The sequence below is a fragment of the Homo sapiens genome, chromosome 7, assembly GCF_000001405.40.
Source record: "Homo sapiens chromosome 7, GRCh38.p14 Primary Assembly".
Classification (NCBI taxonomy): domain Eukaryota; kingdom Metazoa; phylum Chordata; class Mammalia; order Primates; family Hominidae; genus Homo; species Homo sapiens.
The window spans coordinates 15,359,219-15,385,080 of NC_000007.14; the positions used below are offsets into that span (position 1 = coordinate 15,359,219).

Here is a 25,862-nt window from a genome sequence, read left to right on the forward strand (position 1 = left end):
GTGGAGCTTGCAGTGAGCCGAGATCACGCCACTGCACTGCAGCCTCAGCAACAGAGCAAGACTCCGTCTCAACAAAAAAAAAAAAAAAAGAAATTAGATTTATTATTTTTACTCATATTTACTTTAATTTTTGCTCATAAATTGATGACATTTTAAATTTATGCTTTGGGTGTTTCTAATGTGTGGTTTTCTATTACTGTAGTGAAAACATTTCATTTAAAAGAAATATATTTACATTTTTTAAAATGAAATACCTTAAATATAAACATTGAGAAGAGTCAAAGTGGCCTACATATATATCATGTATGTTTTTTTGTAGAAGTAAAGTTTTTTGCAAGCAGTTCTTAAATATGAGTCCAATGAACAAAGGTAATCTTTCATACAACTCAGTTAGAAGCAAAGTTATCTGCTGTGTCTTAGAGCCATCATTTTATTTATCCTAAAATACGTCAACAACTAAACTCCTACCCCTGGTTCATTTCTCACTAAGCTGGGTTGAGTAATCCACATTTGCCAAACAAGTTCTAAATAAAATGTTTTATTGTATGTTACATGGTCACTGCAATCATGACTAATTTGTGATATATGAAATCATAAAATACAAAAAATCCTGAAACCTTTCCATATGATAGTGTATTTGAATTATAGAAAAATACTATAAATTCATGTTCCAAAGACATTTTTAATACTCAGAGAAACTAACTGGGAAAAGGAGAACTTATGTGTTCCTTACTAAGAATCATCACATGTGCCCTACAGCCTGTGCTTTTATTATATTCTCAGTAGTAATTATAGGAGTGGTAATGTTAGTTGTACTGAAGCTTTTGGCGGAGTAGGCACAACATACTGCACGCACATTTACAGACATTATTATAAGTACTTTTTGTATGTATAATCTTATTTAATCCACATGTCCACCCACCAAGGTAGGTACTACTTTTATTATTCTCATTATGCAGAAGAGAAATGAAAGCAGACAGAGGTACTCAAAAATCTGGTTGGAATGACTGATAACAAAATTAAAATAACTACAAGCTTCAAAGGAAGTATTACATCGTTAGCAATAAGTACACTCGACCCTTGAACAACTCGGAGGTTAGTGGGGCCAACCCCCCGTGCGGTCAAAAATTTGCCTATAACTTTCACCTCCCCGGAAAATGTAGCTATTAATCACCTACTGTTGACCAGAAACCTTAGTGGTAACATGAACAGACGATTAACACATATTCTGTATGCTGAATGTATGATACACTGTATTCTCACAATAAAGCTAAAGAAAAGAAAATGTTAAGAAAATAATAAGGAAGAAGTAGGTCATCATAAAGGTCTCTTTTTCTCATCATCTTCATGTTAAGTAGTCTGAGGAGGAGGAGGAAGAGGTGGGTTTGGCCTTGCTATCTCAGGAGTGGCAGAGGTTGGAGGAGGTGGAGGAGGTGGATGAGGTGTAAGGGGAGGCCGGAGAGACAGGCACACTTAGTGTAATATTTATTGAAAAAAAAATCCACATATACATGGACCTGTGCATTCAAACCCTTGTTGTTTAAGGGTCAATTGGATCCAAAAGCTATAATAACTGCCAGGATATGGTCAATTCTTAAGGCAGGCAGTTCTGAGATTAATAAAGAGTACGTACGCATGCCCTCATGCCCACACCTGAGAACACATGCAGATAAAATCAGGTTATGATCCTCATGAAAATAAGAAGAAAAAACCAGATAAATTATAAATAAAGCAGAAATAAGCAGGCAAAATAATTCCCATGCCTTCTTCACCTTAGTGATGCCAGCCAGCTATAGCTAGAATATTGGCATTTTTAAAGAATCCTGGTTTCTGGAAATCATTTGTTACTAAGTGATGCCTTATATGAATAGGAGCCATAGGACACTGCTAACACAGCTTAGAAGCAGCGTCTCTCCACAGTGGGCTGCTCACTGTCACTGTCATCAGCACAATGGTGTCTTTGACTGAAACTGTGACAACTCTAGGGTCATGCAGCCATATCTCTCAAATATTTCCTCTCAGTACCTATCACAAAACTCTGAACATGTGAACTTAGTTGAAAAAAAAAAAAAGATCTTTGGGAGGCCAAGGCAGGCGGATCACCAGGTCAGGAGATTGAGACCATCCTGGCTAACATGGTGAAACCCCATCTCTACTAAAAATACAAAAAAATTAGCCGGGCGTGGTGGCGGGCACCTGTAGTCCCAGCTACTCAGGAAGCTGAGGTGGGAGAATGGCGTGAACCTGGGAGGCGGAGCTTGCAGTGAGCCGAGATCGCGCCACTGTGCTCCAGCCTGGGCAACAGAGCGAGACTGTGTCTCAAAAAAAAAAAAAAAGGTTTTGAGATTTAGATTAAAGGACATCTATGCTCATTAAAGAATACATTCATCACCAAATTAAAAAAAAGAAAGAGAGAGAGAAAGAATAAAACCATTTAGGTAACAGCACATCAACATAACCACTAATGAAGTGTGGTTATATCTTCTTACAATCTATTTTCTCCGCATCGAACAGTTTATGCAAAACAGATAAATAACTTTGCCAGAAAGAGGATAACTATAAATTTGATAGGCACACACCTCCCAAATAATGTAGGAAGACTATTACCATGCAGACTTACTAAGTTTGACTTATATAATAAAATAATACAACAGAAAACCTCCAGCTAGCCTTCTAGATAGAGAAGAGTCACAGGGTTGCAAGCTGATGCTACCAATATATACAACATTGATTTATATTATAGGAGAAAGGGGATTTATTGCTTCACTGACATTGATTCTAGTGATAGCTTCAAAGAAAAATGAAGAGAATATAGTGTCCTTATAGTACAATCACTCCTAGTCAGTCAGCCCTAATTCATATTGACTGGAGTCACTGAGGCCATTTATTAGGTTTCTATACTTATTGTTTGAAGAACAGTTTTAATAAAAGAACAGTTTTATTAAAACTCAGGTAAATGGCAAAGATTTACATAAAGTTTTAAGAGATACAAATATGAAGAAAACACAGATTTGAAATTCATAATTAATAATATAAGAATTGGTAACTGGTTGTAATTTTTACCATGTTTAGCTTTAAAAAGAAGTGGAAAGGCTACTTTCCAGATTAAAAAAAGATTGCTAGCAAAATATTTATCCAGTCTTACGTTGCCATCTCACTTGACCTCTCAACAGAGAAGACTTGCTCAAGTTTAATCATTAATGGCTTGTGGTTTTAATAATAATAATAGTAACACTCTAATAATGGTAATATGAACAATGATAACTGTAATTTATCAATTTCTTCCTATGTTCTCTCCTTTGTGGCACTTCATTTTTCCACCAAACCATGTGAATTAAATACTGTTTTAACATTTTAACGAAAAATTCCAGTGGCAAGTCCCAGGCAACATCTACTCTTGAAGAACTGGCCGTGCATGTGCCCAGATGGACAGAAGCAGTTTCTGGAAAGAGTAGCTAAGCACCCTGAAAGATTTTTCCATGAGGTCCTCTTTTCCTTGGATCATAAACCAAAGATAATCCAGAGGTAAATTATTCAAACCACGTGTCTTTTCAAAATTCTTTTGCAGTTAAATTGATAAGACATTTTACTATAGCTCTTTACATTTTCCAAGCTACTTTTGCTATATTTTGCCACAAGGCTTGAGGTAGATGAGTATTATCATCATTACATGGACGAAAATGTACCTTGATCATTAAGAGTTATAGTGTCAGACTTCCTGAGTTTGTTCCCTGACTTATTCACTTAATAGTTATGTGCATTTAGACAAGTTGTGTACACCCCTCAATATTCTCATTATGAAGATAATGGAAGTAACTACATCATAGGTTTGATATGAATACTGAATGGAATAATACTAGTAAGGCATTTAGAACGTAGTAAGAGCTCAATGCATGTTAGCTCTTATAAAACCTATTTTACAGTTGAACAACCTGAGGCACAGAGTCCAAAGTCACAGATACAGTGTCAGGACCAAGAATTCATAGCACTGACTTTTCCTTCAACATTGTTGTTCTTCCCCACTTCTCATTCTAGCTGTCTCCAAACTTGACTTGGGGATCTCAAGGCAGGCCAAGGCCAAATAGTTATTTCAAATGATCCTTAAGTTCATATAAAATAACAGTAACAACAGTGCCTAACTTTTGTGGAGCACTTACTATGTGTTAATCACTGTGCTCAATTCCTTACACATATTCTCTTATTTAATCCTCAAAATCCTACTTAGATGGATGTTATACTTCCTCCTTTTACAGACGAGCAAAGCAAGACCAAGAATAGGTAAGTGGTGAAGTAATTGCCAAAGAACACATAGCTACTTAGTTCTTAAGCCAAGAATCAAATTCAGGCAATACGGCTTCAAAGTTCAAGTCTTTACCATTTACTTTTATCTATTAACTAAATAAGTAAACTGCCATCATCTTATCACTAGCGTTCATCACACTTAAAAGCTGGACATACTACATTGCCCTCCACCATCTCATCATCAAAGAATACCAAATGCAGTATGTTTTTGTAAGCAAACATTCCCACATATTTACAACACTGGCTAATGTAAGGAACCTATGTTCTCTATTTCCTTCTGGTGTGTGTAAGATAAACTATCACCATAAACCTAAGAGTACTCTCATTAAATGAAATTATTGTCTTTCATGCCTTAAATTAGAATGTGCCCCTCATCTAAGGTGTTAAAGTGCCATTTTCTTTGATTTTATGATTTTTTTCAGCATGTATATTTCTGAATTTTATTAAATATGTATAATTTATGATTATTTTGCTTTTAGGTTATAATTTGAAGAAACAAAATGAACATACACATTAAATCAACTGTAATGCAGAATATATTAAATTAGATGATATCCAAGATCCTGATACTAAGATAGTATGCTTCACGGTTTAAATTCACATTATATATATAATGTGTATATATACCCCTATGGTTTAGAGGTTGAGAAGTTTTAAAGGTATCAAAGAATATTAATAAAGAATCTTCTGCTTCTTCCTTTCTTCTAACCACAAAATTCACCTTTTCTTCCCACAAGCAACATGTTAGGTTTTGTTTATCTTCCTAGATATATTTACATACATACAATAAAATACATTTATATATTTATATACCGATATCTCCCTCTCCCTGTTTTTATACTTATGTGCACTGTATGGCAGGATACTTCACAGAGAATCCTGTATCATGTTTTACTGTTAAGATTGCTCCTTATTGGTACTAAAGGGTTTCTTGTGTTATTATTATAGATGCATATTTTACTACTTTATTAATGAATAATAATTTCAAATAGTCCTCCATTCATGGCCTTTAAGTTGTTGCTAATCTTACGTCATGACAAATAATGCTGCAAGGAATAATATTGCATATACACCGATTCGCGTGTGTGAGTATATCATTTCAGTAGCACCAATTCCTAGAAGTGAAATGCCGGGTTAACGGGTATGTGTATTTGCAATTTTGATAGATATCTCCAAATTACCTCCAAAGGAGTTGTTTCAATTCATAATCAATATTAAATAATGAAAGTGTATATACTGGGTTTTTCACTGATGCTAAGAGCGGGGGATATTAGTATTTATGTTTAATGCTTAAATAAAGTTATACATTGCACATTCTGGTGATGTTGGCAGGTGTCTTGGCACCAAAGTTAAACAATATAACCCTGAATTGCAAACATAATACACTCTCTATTAATGCACTAGTGATGAGAAAATAAATGTCTTTAACAGCTGCCTAGATTCTAAACAATAAATATAGACCCAAAAGTTCAATGCAGTTCTTGGAAGATAAGAATTAACCATCACAGAAGAACATATTTTTCAGCTGTAGAAAAATCCCACTGACTTCAGTGACTTTATTTCTGTAGAATGATTACTTTTTACAGGTAATTGACAAGGAAACTTGATTGCAATTTTCACCTTAAAAGCTTTAAAAAAATCTCAAACGGCAGAGTCTCTGCCAAAAACTTCTTGTAAAATCAATTCTTCCACTTCTTGAGAACCTACTACATGGTCTGATTTCTTTATAAAGGTTGTGTAATGTAATGTGTCCAACAACTCTATGAGGTTGATGATATCAATCCAACTTTACGGGCCAAAAAACTGTGGCTCAGCAATATTAACTAGCTCAGATGACACAACTAACAAGTACTGGTAAGTAAAAAAAAAAAAAAAGATCAAGATTTCCCACATGTACTGGTCAGAAATGAAGTAGAGAAAACATCCTTGAATGAATAAATTAAATGTGCGATAGGTATACGCCATCCTGTGGCTACCTAAACAAATGTCTTACCTCAAAAGCAGATGACAATGAAGGGACAAGAGGCTTCAGGTGACCAAATCGGTACAGCATTAAGAACATCAAGCAACGGAGAGTTTCCATAATAGCTGCCTTGGGTCTGAAATAAAATGTCATTAACATGCATTAGCTTTAAATATGCTCTTTATATGTTCACATGTTATAATTAATATAAACTTCTCATTCTCAAGAAATACCTAGTATTTTAATATATTTGAAAAGCATGTCCCCTGAAGCAATTTGAAAACAGTGATTAAGAAAGAACACTCATCTTTTTCGGGAAAATCTGTTCTTCATCAACATATTGCTTAGTTTGAGCACTGATGAGTTATGAAGTTTATTTTCAGCTAATAAATATTAGGCAACTAAATTTCTAGGGTTTAAAGTAAGTGAGACTCTTTTCACTGATTTAATGTCTTCATACTTCATTCATTTAAAAAATGAGTAGTTAGGAGAACTGATATAGTTAACTTCTCTAAAATAATGAGAAGTCAAATACCAAAATTTTATATTTATTTTTAAAACTACACTAGTTACATAATATACTGGTATTTTACCACTCTGTGGAAAATTCTTGAATTGAGTAAAAGTAAAAACAATGCAAGAATTTCACTTCTTGCCTTTGATCCAGAAGAAATCCAATGGAAGTCAAGGTCAGGATAATGAAGCAAACCCTCAGAAGGAGAGTAACTTGCGACAGTGCCTGTCAAACAAACACGGAGATCAATGGAGCCGTTAGAAGAATTGTTAAAAGGTACACGAACGGTTAAAGCTTACAAAACAGCCCAAATTTTATGTCCTGTTGCACCACTTGTCATTGACACTTTACAGAAAGCTTGACTACACAGAAAACATTTTGGTTTTCTTAATGTCTTTCAGTTCCTTGTTGGACACTTGGAGAATTAGACAATTCCATAATGATATTTTGCTTAAAGTGTTCATCATCATTTAAAATTATCCTTTAAAGTTTTGACTTTTATAATTTTTTGAAGCATGTGAGTCCCCACATATGGATAAATTACTCACATTTTAATGTATAAATACTGTATTCTAATTAGCCATTTTTAGTATAACAAAATCTTTGTGGTTTCAAATGCAAAGCTTTCTCTAATATAGAAAATATTTAAAGGAGACTGTGTTTATGAGTGAAAACATATATATAAAGGAGATTACACATATACACTCATATTTGATTCAATCTACATGCTCATATATACATGTCAAAAGCTATCTTTTTAACGCTTAAACATTAAGCATTAGTGTGCTCTTCATGTTAATATGGCAGAGTTTTGTAAACTAAATTAAAACTTACTGATATATTGGACTTTGAGCCAAGGGAAAGAATGAGTACTATCTTTCCAGGTATCTTAAGGGTAAAAGCTTATTCTAAGACAGTCTGTCCATTGAGATTATTAGATTTCTAACTTGCAAATATGCTTTGTGCTCCAGAAGAATTAGAGGAAAAGCAGATACTAGAATTCTAATTTAAGTACATGTACGGCAGTCTTTTTTTATTGTTTAAAATTCTTTACATTCTGTATAAAAACTAATTCTTTTGGAAAAATGAACCATTTACAGTTTGTTTTTGGACTCTCAGTCAAAGGACTTTCCTTTAAATATTTGTCTCAATTTTAGTCTGGTCTTTTGTACTTTTCTTTAGGAAAAATGAATTAAAGGGTACAGTTGCATAAAGTGGGTTTTTATCCTAATGTACTGGAAATAAATGATAATTTTTTAAAAAAAATTATCTTTTGAATCATTGTAACAAAACATTTTTGTCAGAATTATAAAATTAATATGCATTTAATTTATATATTAAAATTTAATGTTTATTGAACATCTACTATTTTACAGCTTCTATGGCATGTGTTTCTTGTACTTTAATTTTGTTACATTCCCAATAACTTGGCAGAGTAGTTGTCATTATATCGGCTTTATTTTTAAAAAAACGCAAACAATCTGGGAAACAAAGGATTATCTAACTTTTTCCATCATTACACAGAAAGTAAATAACGCCTCTGAAACTCAAAATAGGCCTGCCTGATCACAAAGCATGATGACAGTAGAATACATATGAGCAATAGATTTAAAGGAGCTAATGGCAGAAGTCTAAATTGAGATTACATAGCCAAAGTTTAGAGCCAGGTGAATACGACTTCAGATTAAAAGTGGATCAGTAAATTCAAAGTATTGGACACAGTTCCTGGATGAGTTCCCTACTCACTGGTGGAGCTTAAGTTCCATCTTTATGAAAACCCAGAGGTGTGATACAACAGATTGGCTAAAATAGTGCCCAAAACATTATGCAAGCACTCTTTCCTTTGTTTCCCCTTGAAATGAATATAAGGAATTTCACCTATTAGCTAATATCCTTACTTGCAACTCAACTGCATCTGTCCAAAGTTATACACAGTAAACAAAAGCCACCAGTCACAATTTTTGCTCACATGCAGTACTGTAGCTTCATACCTTCTTAAAAACCAGCCCCATCTCTCACGGCCAACTTCCTGGAATGGCAGCCAGAATTGTCAAGAGATTTTAAACCCTCCAAAGCAATACTTTAGTGGAAGAGTATTGCTGAGTGGTCAAAAATCTGAATACAAAAGGATTAGAATGTTTAGGAATAGGGGCACAATGATAGGTATTAGATACAGGATGGGTGAGTCAGTGAAAGCCAGAATGTCTTAGACCAGAGCAAGAGAGTGCTATTAATATTTTGATATGTGAAGGTCGGCGATGTCCACTTAGGAAGAATGAGACCAAAAAAAAAAAAAAACCAGAAAAATATTTTCCTGGTGGTAGAAGTAACTAAGGTTTGTTACTTTGTTTGATTAAAATGGCATCTCTCACTATATTGCTTCATTGTGGTTTTGGCGGGGAAAAATTTACATATAAGGGAGAAATGATTTGTGTCAAAATCTGTAGTATGATTGCAAATGCTCTTTAAGAACACAGAATTTGTTTTTCAAACCTATCACCCATGTAAACATGAGCAAATTATTTGACATTTTAAAGCCTCAGCTATGCGTTTGGTACATTTGAAATAAAATACGCGTTTGGCAAGGACTGTAATCTTATTAAATACTTAAAAGAGTGTTTGGCACAGAGTAAAAAAGTCAATTGATGGTCATGGTTAGTATTATTGTTACTATGTTCAGGAGCTTAGGCTAATCTTAATTACAATAAGATGAGCAACTGAGAAGCATAAATAGAAGTTCTAATTAGCTCTTCCAGATGTCACAGGAAACTCACAGATGAAATAAGTACATGTATTTACTTTGGTTAGGAAATCTATGATCCCTGGACAATACAAATAACTCTTTACCAAACTGCATCCTGACTACTGGACTCAGAGTGGAAACCAACTTGATGCAGGAATCCACCACCTAGTCAACATCTCTAACTGGTGAACGGGCAACTGAAACTTGGCATGACTAAAACACTGCCTTTGAGCTCCTCCTCTACAACATATATTCACTAGTTTTCTTCATCTTAGAAAATGATACCTCCTAGCCTTCTGTTACTGAAGACAAAAACCTGTGGCTGGTCCTTAACTTTTTCTGTCACTGTCTACTTCTAATATATCAAGAGATATATTTAAAATATATCCAGAATAAAAGCATGTGTTACAAACAGCACAATTAATACCCTATTCCACCCCAAGATGATCTCCCCAACAATTGTTGAAATACTCCCCTAACTGGTCTTCCTACTTCTAAAATTGCCTGTCCACCTACCACAGCCCCCAACCCACAGCATGCAGAGTGATCCTTTTAAGCTTATGTGAGATCATGTCACACATGTTCTAAACCCTCCAGGGGCTCACTCAGAATAAAGCTCAAAGTCATCACTCTAGCCCAAATACGCCATACCCCACTATTAATCCCTAGTGTTCTCTCTTTAACTCAACATAAGCCATGCCAGAAATTTTCCTGTTCCTGGACATGACAAACATTTTCCCCACTCAAGTCTGTTTCACCTACTATTCCTCTGCTTGAAATGACTTCCCCTAGTGATCATTAGGGTGCATTTCATTCAGGTCTCTATTCAAATACATGTCCTTGTCCCTCCGACACAAAATAGTACTTCTCCATAACTCTCTGTAACCATTTTCTGTTTTATTGCTCTTCATATGATTTTCCACTTCTATACACGTATATATTTGTTGGTGCATTCTCTGTTGTCTGTCTCCTCTTGCTAGGATGTAAACTCAATGAAAGTTTTTATCTCTTCATTCACTGTCGTATCCCAAGGGCCTAGAATATAGAACTCAATATGTTTATTGAAAGACTGATAAAATGTTTATATTTGTTTTAGTATTAATACATTAAATGTTATTACATTGCTAATATGTTATTTTGGGAAAACTGAATCTATTTCATTTTTTACAAATTCAAATTTTATTTTAGGTTCAGGAGATATATTTGCAGGTTTGTTACATTAGTATATTGCCTGATGCTGAGGTTTGAGATAGGAATGATCCTATCACCCAGGTAGTGAGCATTGTACCCAACAATTAGTTTTCCAACTTTTGCCCCCCTCCTTTATTCCTTAGTCCCCAGTGTCTATTGTTGTCATCTTTATGTCCAGGGTACCCAATGTTTAGCTTCCATTTATAAGTAAGAACTTGCAATATTTGGTTTTCTGCTCCTGCACTAATTCACCTGGAGTAATGGCCTCCAGCTGCATTCACGTTGCTGCAAAGGACATGAATTCTTTTTCATGCCTGCATAGTAATCCATGGTATATATGTAACACGTTTTCTTCAACAACCAATCCTCCGTTGGTGGGCACCTAGGTTGCTTCCATGTCTTTGCTATTGTGAATAATGCTGCGATGAACATGAGTGCATGTGTCTTTTAGAGTGATTTATTTTCTTTTGGATATATACCCAGTAATGGGACTGCTGTGTCAAATGGTAGTTCTAAGTTCTTTGAGAAATTTCCAAACTGCTTTCCACAGTGGCTGAACTAATTTACATTCTCACCAACAGTGTGTATGTGTTCCCTTTTCTTTTTAGCCTCACCAGCATCTATTGTTTTGATTTTTTAACAATAGCCATTCTTACTGGTGTGAAACAGTATCTCATTGTGGTTTTGATTTGCATTTCTCTAATGATTAGTGACGTTGATAATTTTTTCATGTTTGTTGGATACTTGTATGTCTGCTTTTGAGAGGTGCCTGTTTATGTTCTTTGCCCATTTTTTAATGTGGCTATTTGTTTTTTTCTTGTTGATCTGGTTAAGTTCCTTATAGATTTTGCATATTAGTCCTTTGTCAGATGGGTAGTTGGCAAATATTTTCTCCCATTCTGTAGACTGTCTGTTTACTCTGTTGATAGTTTCTTTTGCTGTGCAGAAGCTCTTTATTGTAACTAGGTCCCATCTGTCAATTTTTGTTTTTGTTGTAGTTGCTTTTGAGGACTTACTCATAAATTATTTCCCTAGGCCAATGTCCAGAATGATCTTCAACAAAGTTGACAAAAGCAATGGGGAAAAGACTCCTTATTCAGTAAGTGGTAGAGGGATAGCTGGCTAGCCATATGCAGAAGAATGAAACCAGACCCCTACCTTTCACCATATATAAAAATTAACTCAAGATTGATTAAAGATTTGAACCTAAGACCTCAAACTATAAAAACCCTAGAAGAAAACATTAATACAATTAATCAATAATTTAATATTAAATATTTAATAACAATGTTTTATTTTATTTTTGAAACAGAGTTTTACTCCCATCACTCAGGTTTGTAGTGTAATGGCACCATCTAAGCTCACGACAACCTCCCTTTCCAGCCTTAAGCTATTCTCCTGCCTCAGCCTCCAGAGGTAGCTGGGACTACAGGCACATGCTACCGTGCGCACAGCTAATTTTTTTTTTTTTTCTTCGAGACAGAATTTCGTTCTTGTTGCCCAGGCTGGAGTGCAATGGCGCCATCTCGGCTCACTGCAATCTCCGCCTCCTGGGTTCAAGCAATTCACCTGCCTCAGCCTCCCTAGTAGCTGGGATTACAGGCACCTACCACCTTACATACCCGACTAATTTTTTTGTATTTTTAGTAGAGATGGGGTTTCACCATGTTGACCAGGCTTGGTCTCGAACTCCTGACCTCAGGTGATCTGCCTGCCCCTGCCTCCTAAAGTGCTGGGATTATAGGCGTGAGCCACTGAACCCAGCCAACGGCTGATTTTTGTATTTTTTTTTGTAGAGATGGGTTTTCACCACATTGTCCAGGCTGGTCTCAAACTCCTGGACTCAAGTCTGGCCTCAGCCTCCCAATGTACTGGGATTTATAGGCATGAGCCACCACACCTCATCTAATACCAATATTTTATATTCCTCAAACTTTAAAATAAATTCAACTAAATTATTCAATCAATAGTTTAATATTAAATTATTAAGTGTTTCTAAATATTAAATATTTAAATATTAAGTACCTTAATATTTATCCCTTTAATTCCTTAAAAAACAGAATATCCCAAAAATGAGTTTAAAAGAAACTGAGAATATTGAAGAGGGAATTCAACATAGAACACATATGCTTAATTTAGGGTTCATTTTCCTATGGAACTTAAGTTTTTCTATATAGTATCCTTTGATAGACTACTAAGGGAGATAATCAGTTGAACGTCTCTAAAGTCTAACATGCGGCTGGGTGTGGTGGCTCATGCGTGTAATCCCAGCACTTTACGACGCTGAGGTGAGCGGATCACTTGAGGTCAGGAGTTCAGGACCAGTCTGGCCAACACGGTGAAATCCCGTCTCTACTAAAAATACAAAAATTAGCCAGGCATGGTGGCACACACCTGTAGTCCCAGCTACTTGGGCAGCTGAGGCAGGAGTAAACTACTGTTTGAACCTGGGAAGCAGAGGTTGCAGTGAGGCAAGATCATGCCATTGCACTCCAGCCTGTGCGTCACAGCGAGACTCTGTCTCAAAAATAAATAAATAAATAAATTCTACAAATTCATTCCATGAATATATATTGAATATGTGCTGGGCACTATGGTAAATATGAGTTTGAGTAACCAAGAACAACAAAATCCCTGCCCTTGAATTCATACCACCTTAGTATTTGCCCGTAAGACCACTGGCCAACTACACTAGAGCAAAAGAAAAAAAAATAGAATTTATAGGTTTTGAAGACTATAAATATTTAGTCTCCTGTGTTTTAAACAATATGTGAAATCACACGTAGCTTATTAGTTTTTTATAACAGGGAGGATTTTATTTTTTCATTTAATTTACTCCCATTTCAAATTATATACTGCTGGTTTATCTTTCATATAAAGTATCTCTGTCCTAAAGTGCTAAATTGAAATTATTCTAAATTAGTTCCATTTTAATTTGGACGTATGATCGGTTCTTAATCACAGAAAGCATTTGGGAAAGATCATAACCATAAATAGCTTTATGAGGCAATAAATTATTTTTCCTTTTTAAAAATTATCTGTCAAGTTTCACTACTGTGTGGTGGCTCATGCCTATAATCCCAGCACTTTGGGAAGCTGAGGTCGGCAATTCACTTGAGGCCAGGAGTTCGAGACCAGCCTGGCCAACATGGCAAAACCCCATCTCTACTAAAAACACAAAAATAATACAAAAATTATCTGGGCATGGTGGCGGTACTTGCCTTTAATTCCAGCTACTTGGGAGGTTAAGGCACAAGAACTGATTGAAACTGGGAGGAGGTGGTTTCAGTGAGCTGAGATGGCACCACAGCACTCCAGCCTGGACAACAGAGTGATATTCTGTCTCAAAAAAAAAAAAAATTATTTGGTAGCTCGTTTTCATAGGTTTCCCAGTGCAAGGATGATGGTTTACATTTGCAGCCCCAATTACGCCTGCAGAACCCTATCTACTCCAACTTTCTTTAAATAGATGGGAAAAAAATACTTAGGAAAAGGTATCATTAACAACACAAAAACAGCAGAATTACATGTTTGACGCCATGTTACTTAATCAATGAATGTGTGGGAATTCTTCTTTTGCCCACAGATATTATAAAGAAGAAAGCCCTTTTCTTCTTGAAGAGGACTATCACTGTCTTACTCTTGCATGGGAAAACCTTAGGGGTCAATACAACCTCCTCTCACATTTCTCCACCAAACAAACCTCACAAAGGAGGTATCAAACTCAGTCACTACATCCTAAAATAACAGTATGTTTCCATATGAAAAAATTCTTTTTTTAAACTTTATGCATTGTCAAAGATGATTTGATAATATTTTCCATAATTTTATTCTAAGGCTTTAGAAATGAAAATCTCTAGATTTTCTTATTAAAACAAGTTGGTACGTTTTTAGTAGTTTCTCTAAAAGGTGCCTGACAAGGTCTACAAAAGTTATTATTTTGATTAATGCTCATCTTCTCAGACATCTGTAAAATGAGGCTAATATTGCCTAACACTGAAACCTCTACAATCTCTGCTGTGAAGGCAGCAGATTGGCTTTCTTGGCATACTTATCCCTGCTGCCATTATTAATATCTCTGCAGCTCTGAGGGCCCCAATCTTCCAGACACTGTGAGCTTGCGGATTTGTTATGCTGAATCCGAAGGCTTGAAGATGCTTCTCAGTGTTACAACATAAACACAAGAGCAGAATCCAATGTGACACCATACTGCAATGTATAATTATATGTGAGTCTCAAGAATCTGTCTTGAAAGAATTTCTTGCTCTTTAAAATAATTGTCAATATTGGCTATCTTATTCTTTTCCCTACTTTTTCAGAACTCCCTAGGTGGCTACCACTAAAGCATACTAAGAGGAATATAATTACAGTAAACATTTGCTAGAATTTCAAGCAAGAAGCAAACATAATAAATATATCAAAGGTGAAAATATATTGGCTAAAAAAGTATAATTAACATATAGTTCAAAACATTGAATTGACATGGAGTTCATCAGTTTCTACAAAAAATTGTAAGAAATAAAAGCCAAAGATTACATTGTATTTTATAAATACCAAAATATTAGATATGTAACAATTATATTTGACACTATGGTTCTACTCCATTAAAATATGAATGTGTACCTGATAAGATAGAGAACTTCACCCTCCTACCTGGAAAAACAAACAATAGCAATATATCTGAAATGATTGTTTTCAAATCACAGGGCACAAGGCAAAAAAGAACAGCGATCTCAGGGAAATAGGATACAAATGACATGATCCATATTGCACCAGTTTCCCACCTTGAGAGTTTCTAGGTTACAATACAGAGGGACCCAGAGGAGCTTGGTGGATTCCCTGAATTGTGGAGAAAGAGCCAGGATTTGAGAGAAACCAAGAAGGCTAGCATTTGGAAAATAGAGTACCAAAAAAGGAAGAGTTATGCATAGAGAACCCTAAAAATTTGCAGAGTGTCGGTCAAGTCTTTAGCAAGTCAGCTCATGCGTGATACCCTGAAGAAATTATCCAAGGGCAAAAAAGGATCAGAGTTACAATGCCCAGTATGTGTGTAATGCATACTCCTACCAGACAGACTGGAAAATCTCATGATTCACTGGACATTCACTAAGTAGAGAACACCAAAGGGTTGTGCCTCAGTATTGGGTAGTAATTGGTCCAAGACTGAAAACCTCTAGAAAAGAAAGATCCTACAACAGTTGCCAAAAGAGTCTGTTGTTAACATATTATCTTTTTTGAATGCTCCATAAAACTATTTTGTGGGAGCCACTCTGAATAATCTGTATTTGCCTCAAGATCAAATTTCCTTGCACTTTTAATAGGAAACTTTTATTTTCTTACTAAGAAACAAGTGGATCTACAAACTAAATACCTTTTCATTATTTTCCAAAATACAGAAGAGAAAAGATGTTAAAAGACTGTTTCAGAGACAGATCAGACTTTCTTTCTAAAAGGATTTTTTTTTTTTTTTTTTTTTTTTTTTGAGACAGAGTCTTGCTCTGTTGCCTAGGCTGGAGTGCAGTAGCACAATCTTGGCTTCTGCACAACCTCTAACTCCTGGGTTCAAGTGATTCTCTTGCCTCAGCCTCCAGAGTAGCTGGGATTACAGACACCTGCCACCGCACCCAGCTAATTTTTGTATTTTTAGCAGAGGCGGAGGTTCTCCACCTTGGCCAGACAGGTCTCAAACTCCTGACCTCAAGTGATCCACCCACCTCGGCCTCCTAAAGTGCTGGATTACAGGCGTAAGCCACTGTGCCCAGCCTCTTCACGTGGAATACTTTTAATGAGGAAATGTAACTCCAAAGAACTGCGCATTTAGACTTGGGAGTTTCCAAAACAGAATTAAATTGCTTAATTTTTACATACACTTAACAAATCTAAGTGAGGTTATGATTTAAATTATGAGGAGGTTATCATTGTGTTTGTTATGTAACTTTTTAAAGAAGCTGCCTGATCCTCACCAAATTAGAAAACACTTATAGTGATATGAAGATATATTTAATTTCAAAGTTAACATTCTATTATTTGATGCATATACTATTAAATGTGTAATTTCCCAGTTTATCAATGTATTTAAATGTAGTGGACAAAAAATAATGTATTTAGGAAAATACAATGATCACTTTTCTACATTTCTGTAGTCTATGCTTACTTGAAAGGTAGCTTTTGTTAATAGTCTTCCGTTACTACAAATCCATTACATTCATTTCATGCCTTTGTATTATAATTGATGCTCATTTTGGCCCACATTCCTTTTTTTTCCCCCACATTACGTAACTTAGTTACCACCGAAAATCTTAAGGAAATGAAATCCCAAGGGGATAGACTAGAGAAAAACAGTATACCCTGGACATTGACTTGAAAACTTTCATGAAGAACCTAAGCTAGATCTAATTTGTGCAGGTGGCACTCTCTGCTGTAAGAGTCGACCAAAATATATTGATTTTTTTACAGGTTTTTTTCAGCAGCTTTATTAAAAAACGCCAACATGAAAATATTAGTTACAAAATTGTAGTGCCCATAATGTTTTACAGAGTATGGCATTCAGGGGAATTAAAAACCATAAAAATGTTTCCAAATTTATATTGGATACTCTCAGATGCCCTGTAACTTGAAATATATCATCAAAGTAATCTGTGTTCAAATGTATCTGCAGTAACTTTATTACATATCCTATTATAAGACCTTATTGAATATTCAAACTGTTTTTTGTGTGTTTATTAGTTAAAAGAAGCATTGCCTTTTCAATTTTAGTTTGTAGAACATGCTAGTGCAATACATATTATACATATTTTTATTTCCAACATGTACTCATGATATCACCCCAGGAAGTGGACACTGGCAGCTGAGGAATTGATTTTTCAAGGATTACTAAACCAAAATCAACATAAAAGTCCGTGGGTCATATCACTAAACTAAACACTATATATTTAAATATATGCTTTGCAAGTTTCAGTAAGAAAGGAATGTGTCTCTTACACCTTTGTCGTGGCCATCAAATTGCTCTCTTGACTCCCAAAGTTATTTATATAGAACTTGCATACATAAAACAAGTAAGTATTTATCTTCTCTAATATATGCATAAACAGAAAAGACTGTGGGACCACAGCAGGGTCCCCAATTACAAGTCAGCCACAACTTTTCTGTGTGATTATTGGCTACAGTGAATCTGGAAAAAAATATTGCTGTTGGATTTTAATGTCTTTGTATGCTTTTAGACATCCCTGAGATTAGAAAGGCACTATAGAATTTTGCAAATAAACAACCTTTCTTCCTAGTCACACAGCATGTTCTCAGCAAAGAAAAACACATGTGGGAAACAAGCAAATACAACTTTCAAAATTAATTTGTGTCAGGAATGAAGCTGTCTCCAACTCTACTTTCAGTTTGTAAAGGGTTTCAACACTTGATATTTCTCTTCGTCAATATATCTACATGAGTTTCTCATATATTTTTTCATGACAGTAGAGAAATCTTGAGAAAACCATGCTGTAAGTCACATATTTTAATGTACACAGTGTCTGGCTACATTTTTACCCAGGAAGCACTCACTCATGCCCAGGCATTCAAATGTTAATGGCCACTATTTCAAATTTAACATGGAGGCTCACATAGCTTAAAATGAGTAAGTCTCCATCTTTTGTTTCTATGAATCAGTATAATTTATTTAGAGATTTTATTTAATACAACTAAGAAAAATCAACAATGCGAACTGTACTCAACATTGGTTAGTATATCAACAGTTGGATATTTAGACACAGATGACCCTGGCTTTTCTTTTGGTCTCATTCAACTATTTAAGCTCTATTAATGATGTAGATTTTAGTTCTACTTGGGGAGAACATATTAAGTTAATATATTAAACAAAGTAGTTAAGTGAGGGGTTATGAGACCTTACTTAAACAAATATGAAGTCTAAGCATTTTGGTGGTTTGATGTTTAGGTGTGCACTGCCAAGCGTAATGTGGTTCATGCCACAGTTATAAAAGCTTTGGTCCAAAAAGAAATTCTTGGTTTCAAATTTTGTCATTTTGGGGGCTAAAGCCAAATAAACCTGGTACACTATGCAATTTGTTTCATCATTAGCTCTAGCACAGGTAAGAAAAACAAACAGTAACTATATGTCCAATCATTACATTTTCAAAAAACTTCTGGCCCCATAGTATCCTAGTTCCTGCATTTGCTTCACAAAATGGAAACAAGAATCTAACTCATTGTTTTCTGCTACAGTAATACAAGTCGATTTCATGTTTCCCTGTGGCTTTTTATTTTAAAAAATTATATTTGGACAGACAGCACATACAAACTTATCTATTGTTTAAAATTTGGGTTCCTATATGAAGAATAATTTGGTTACTAACTTTGAACACACGCACAAAATAAATATATATGGACAACACCAATCATTAAAGTTTTAAAATAATGTTAAAATTAAAATGGTTTTTGTTGGTTTAATGTCTGTTTTGTCAGAAACTTGGGATTGCATCCCATCCTTCTGTTTTCCAATTGCTTGGTAGTGTTTTCTCCGTCCCTTTATGGGATCAAATCAACAAGGATTCCTAACTATCCTAAATATGTATGCACCCAACACAGGAGCACCCAGATTTATTAAGCAAGTTCTTAGAGATCTTCAAAGAGATTTAGACTCCCACACAATAATAGTGGGAGACTTTACTACCCCACTGACAATATTAGATCATCCAGACAGAGAATTAACAAAGATATGCAGCACCTGAACTCAGCACTAGACCAAATGGACCTGATAGATACAGTCAGAACTCTCCACCCAGAGTTCTGGGTGGCAAAATTCTATAGTGCCTTTCTAATCTCAGTGATGTCTAAAAGCATACAAAGACATTAAAATCCAACAGAATTTACATTCTTCTCATCGCTACATGACACATAATCTAAAATCAATCACAAAAATGAAAGTAAAACACTACTCAGCAAATGCAAAAGAACTGAAATCATAACCCACATTCTTTCAGACCACAGCACAATTAGAAATTAAGACTAAGAAATTCACTCAAAACCATACAATTACATGGAAACTGAATAACCTGCTCCTGAATCACTTTTCGGTAAATGATGAAATTAAGGCAAAAGTTTCAAAGAAGTTCTTTGAAACTAATGAGAACAAAGACACAACACACAACATACCAGAATCTCTAGGACACAGCTAAGGCAGTGTTAAGAGAGAAATTTATAGCACTAGAAGTCCACATCAAGAAGTCAGAAACATCTCAAGTTCACAACCTAGTATCACGACTAAATAACTAGAGAAATCAAGAGCAAAGAAATCCCAAAGCTATCACAAGACAATAACCAAAATCACAGCTGAAGCAAAGGAGATTGAGACATGAAAAACCATTGGAAAGATCAACAAATCCAGGAGCTGTTTTGGGGAAAACATTAATCAAGTAGAAAAACTGTTAATTAGATTGATAAAGAAGAAACAGAAGATTCAAATAAACAGTATCAAAAACAAGGAGGTTATTATCAATGACCCCACAGAAGTACAAACAACAATCAGAAAATATTATGAACACTTACATGCACATACACTAGAAAATCTAGACGAATTTCCTGGATACATACACCCTCCTAAGACTGAACCAGGAAGATATTAAAACCCTAAAGAGAACAATAGTGAGCTCTAAAATTGAGGCAGTAACAAATAACCTACCAATCAACAAAAGCCCAGCACCAGACAGATTCACAGCTGAATTCTACCAGAGGTACAAAGAAGAGCTGGTACCATTTCTACTGAAACTATTCCAAAAACTTCAGGCCAATATCCTTGACTGACAGTAATGCAAAAATTCTCAATAAAATACTGGCAAACCAAATCTAGCATCACATCAAAAAGCTTATCCACCATGATTAAATGGGCTTTATCCCTGGGTGCAAGGTTGGTTCAACATACACAAATCAGTCAATGTGATTCATTACGTTAACAGAACTAAAGACAGAAAGCATATGATTATCCCAATAGATGCAGAAAAAGACTTTCTTTAATTCGACACCCTTTCATATTGCTCATTTTCAATAAACTAGGTATTGAAGGAAATTGCCTCAAAATAAAAAGATCCATATAAGACAAACGCACAGCTAACATTTTACTGAATGGGCAAATGTTGGAAGCATTCCCCTTGAAACCAGCACAAGACAAGTATGCCCTCCGTCTCTCACCACTCCTATTCAACATAGTATTTTAAGTTCTGGGCAGGGCATTCAGGCAAGAGAAAGAAACAAAGGGCAACAATAAGAAGAGAGGAGATCAAACTATCCCTATTTGCAGACGACATGATCCTCTACCTAGAAAACCCCATGGTGTCAACCCAAAAGCTTCTTAAGTTGATAAACAACTTCAGCAAAGTCTCCGGATACAAAATCATATGCAAAAATCACTGGCATTTCTATACACCAATGACAGTCAAACTGAGAGCAAAATTAGGAATGAACTCCCATTAATAATTGCCACAAGAATAATAAAATACCTAGTGATACAGATAACCAGGGAGGTGAAAGATCTCTAGAAGGAGAGCTACAAAACACTACTCAAAGAAATCGGATATTGACACAAACAACTGGAAAGCCATTCCATGTTCATGGATAGCAAGATTCAATATCATTTAAATGGCCATATTGCTCAAAGCAATTTATAGAATCAATGCTATGCTTATTAAACATTCCTCACAGAACTAGACAAACATTGTCATTCTTCACAGAATTAGAAAAAACTACTTTAAAATGCACATGGAACCAATAAAAGAGCCCGAACAGCCCAGACAATCCTAAGTAAAAAGAACAAAGCTGGGGACATAACATTATCCAACTTTGAACTACACTACAGGTCTACAGTAACCAAAGCAGCATGGTACTGGCACAAAAACAGTCACATAGACCAATGGAACAGAACAGAGAACTCAGAAATAACACTGCACAACTACAACTATCTCATCTTCAACAAACCTGACAAAAACAAGCAATGGGGAAAGGATTCCCTAATTCAATAAATGGTGCTGGGATAACTGCCTAGCCATATGCAGAAGATTCAAACTGGACCCCTCCCTTACTGCATATACAAAAACTCAGCATAGATTAAAGACTTAAATGTGAAACCTAAAACTATAAAAACCCTTTAAGACAACCTAGGCAATACCATTCAGGACACAGACAAAAACAAAGATTTCATGATGAAGACGCCAAAAACAATTGCAACAAAACCAAAAATTAACAAATGGGATCTAATTAAACTGAAGAGCTTCTGCAAAGCAAAAGGAACTATCAACAGAGTGAACAGACAACCTACAGAATGGGAGAAAAGTTTTGCAAACTATGCATCCAACAAAGGTATAATATCAAGCATCTATAGGAACTTAAACACATTTACAAGAAAAAGACAAGCAATCCCATAAAAAAGTGGGCGAAGAACACGAACCTTTCAAAAGAAGACATACATGCAGGCCACAATCATATGAAAAAAAAAAGTTCAACATCACTGACTGTTAGAGAAATGCAAATCAAAACCACAATGGTGTACCATCTCCCACCAGTCAGACTGGGTATTATTAAAAACTCAAAAAATAACATGCTGGTGAGCTTGTGGAGATAAAGGAATGCTTATACACTGTTGGTGGGAATGTAAATTAGTTCAATCGTTGTGGAAGACAGTGTGGAATTCCTCAAAGACAAAGACAGGAATACTATTCCACCCAGCAATCCCATTACTAGGTATACATACAAGGGAATATAAATCATTCTTTTATAAAGTTAAATGCATACATATGTTCACTGAAACACTATTCACAATATCAAAGACATGGAATCAACCTAAATGCCCATCAATGATAGACTGGATAAAGAAAATTAGGTAAGTATACACCATGGAATACTATGCAGCCACCAAAAACAATGAGGTCATGTCCTTTGCATGAACATGGATGGAGCTGGAGGCCATTATCCTTAGCAAACTAACACAGGAACAGAAAACCAAATACTGCATGTTCTCACTTGTAAGTGGGAGCGCTAAATGATGAGAACACATGGACACGTAAGAGGAACAACACACACTGGGGTCTATTGGAGGGTGGAGGGTGGGAGGAGGAAGAGGATTTTACTATTGGGTACTAGGCTTAATACCTAGATGATAAAATAATCCATACAACAAACCCCTCATGACACAAGTTTACCTATGTAACAAAACTGCACATGTACCCCCGAACTTAAAATAAAAGTTTAAAAAAATTAAGATGGCTTTTCTCAATACATTATTCAATAATCTCTATAACAACTTTCTGAAAATCTATTTAGCAGGATACATTGCATACACAATTGGATGCCCAGCCAAAACATATCTCCCATTTCTTTTGTACTAATACTGTGCTGATTTTGTCCAGGTATATACGAGGAATGTGCTCGGGGGAAGTGAGTACCACTGTATCCTGAGGGCAAGAATTATACTTGGTATAATTTACTCATGGTTAAATTCATGACCTGATGTTAGTTATGGGTTTAGTGTGGGCATGTCCTGAAAAATGAGGCATGAAAGGAAGTTCGCTCAGAAGAAATGTGTCTCCGTGTGTGTTTTCCTTCTTAAATAAAATGAAATAAAATTAACAAGATGCTGTAGAAGTATTGAATTTGCTGCCTTTGGTCAAAAGCTGTAAGGGCAGGATGACTGGAGTTATTGCAATTATTTTATGATAACAAAATCCAAAGGAATTAGAGAAGCCCTTTTAGAAGCGCTGCATGTTTGAACTGCTGAAGTAATCAATCCTGGAAACACTTGCCATATTCCGGACAAATTTAATTGAATATTCTGTTTTTTTAGAGCAGAAGACACCTAATGGACACTCCTACCATAGATATCTTAATTAAGATGTTATCCTACAGGCATTTTTATATGTCACTAGGTGTTTATAAATGATTAGATACTTTGTTTGAAAACAAGTTCAAATCACGTATTTATGTGTGATAACATCTATTGTTATATAGATGTAACATTTGTTATTTTTGCCTACTTGAGCCTATTTGCCTTTTTCTATAATCTATCACCTCAATTTTTTTTTCAAGCCACTCTGTTGTTCTTCATAGACCATGAGGATCCTGTGTAGTTGACCCTGCCCTCCCATTCGTAGGCTGGGTACATAATCTAGGACCACATACATAGATTCGTTCAGTGATGTACAGATAAACTAAGCCACAACATCAGGCTCAATTTGGGTATTTTCACTTGTGGGGTTCTTTGAATGGCAGTATTTTACCTAGAGCAAGTTGGTAGCCATCTTGCCACCATGAAGGGTCACAGTTTACAGGAGAATTTGCACTCAGAAAAGCATAGCTGTAGGAAGTAAAGAAGATTCCTGATGACATTATTTGCCCTCTTGGGTCCGCACTGTCTAAAGAAGCAATAGTCCCAAACTTTTCAGTTACGTTAGTTAATAAATCCACTCTGCGTTGAATTTCTGCCATATACAATAAAAAAACAATAAAAAAAAGTCCCACCTAACACTCCTGCCTAAAAGTCCTGCTCAGGACCTATTTCAAGAAACCTCCTTTCCTTATAATTAACTATATAAATCATACAGAATATATAGAACTGTTACAGTAACATCTTCATACTTAGATTATTACACTGGTACCTAACTAAAATAATTCCATAGGTCTTATATTGAAATTATTGATAATCCTAGATTAGATTCATTTTTCAGCATATATTATTTATTAATTTCTTTTACTTATGGAGTTTTTAACTAGATAGACTCATGCCTATCAATAATACACATTGTTGTTTGAAAATGATTTATTATTCTCTGTATTCACTGAATGTTAATCCTATCTTTATTCATTTAGGTTTTTTTCCCGGATTGTTGTATTTTTCTTTTTAGGCTTTTTCAGAGTTCTTCATATCTGAAGATAACATCTCTTCCATGTTTTTAATCTGTTTATGTATTGACTTTAGCACTGTGTAATGGATGATTAATTTAGTCCATCTATTTTTTTTTTCGTTTGTTTGAGACTGAGTCTCGCTCTGTCCCCCAGGCTGGAGTGCAGTGGCGCGATCTCGGCTCACTGCAAGCTCTGCCTCCCAGGTTCACGTCATTCTTCTGCCTCAGCCTCCTGAATAGCTGGGACTACAGGGCCCGCCACCATGCCTGGCTACTTATTTTTGTATTTTTCAGTAGAGACGTGGTTTCACCGTATTAGCCAGGATGGTCTCGATCTCCTGACCTCGTGATCTGCCCACCTTGGCCTCCCAAAGTGCTGGGATTACAGGCATGAGCCACCACGCCCAGCCTCAATTTAGTCCATCTTTTAATGCACTAGTTTAAGCTGCTATGTAAGCCATTGAGTGTTGCATGCTAGTTATATTTTTATATTTTTAAAGTTTATTTTAATTACTTTAAAAATGACAGCTAGGACAACTATCAGAATATATGTTCAGTTGCCTCACTGGATTCATATATTGTCAACATTTTTAACTCCTTAGGTGTCTTTCAATTTTTGCTAGCTGTTCTGTGCATTTTAATAATTACATTTTTGTATATTTTATCCATCAATTTTAAGTGTCCTATACACCTTAAAGATAGGCGTATCTTAACCACCACTTTGCTACACCTGTTTCTTTCCAATATAACTATTATTCAGAGTTACCATGTAACTTTCAACATTGCTGATTCACTGAGGTTTTTCATGGGGTGCTTACTTTATTGGTAACAAGGTATAAAAACAGCATTTTTTTAAACTCACCTGTGATTCTATTTTCTACTTCACCTACTTACAATTTAGTTACCTTACTGCTTTCATGTACCTTTTTGATCTACTGTAAATTTTTAATGAAGAATACAAATAAATCTATAAAAAATACCTGTTTTTCTCTTTTTTTTTTTTTTTTTGCAATTTACAACATATTTTTATATACGTTATTTTTGCTCTTTCCAAAACCTAGGTAGTATGAGTATTCTTTTGTGGCCAAAAAAAAATGATCCCCAAAGTGGCGATCCCTGAACTAAATCCTGGTCTAGTGCTCTTCTATTTGCACCAGACAAATTGGAATATTCTGAATGTTTCAGAAATGTCAAACTAAAGGAATTAAACTCTACACTGAAAACCCTTTAAATTCTATCAGGGAATTCTCTAAG

At 35.3% G+C, this 25,862-nt stretch overlaps 1 protein-coding gene across 7 annotated transcripts in view; it reads right to left on the reverse strand.

The window, feature by feature from the left end:
* AGMO (alkylglycerol monooxygenase) overlaps positions 1–25,862 on the reverse strand; it is a 444,793-nt gene that overhangs the window by 241,996 nt on the left and 176,935 nt on the right. For all 7 annotated transcript variants that reach the window (XR_001744759.1, XM_017012204.2, XM_011515402.4 and 4 more), the window contains exons 11-12: positions 6,922–7,004; positions 6,296–6,401 (exon numbers count right to left, since the gene is read on the reverse strand). Coding sequence is in view for 6 of the 7 variants with exons in the window: in XM_017012204.2 (XP_016867693.1) it covers positions 6,296–6,401; positions 6,922–7,004 (189 nt within the window). In the remaining variant the exon portion in view is untranslated. The remainder of the gene's footprint in view (positions 1–6,295; positions 6,402–6,921; positions 7,005–25,862) is intronic.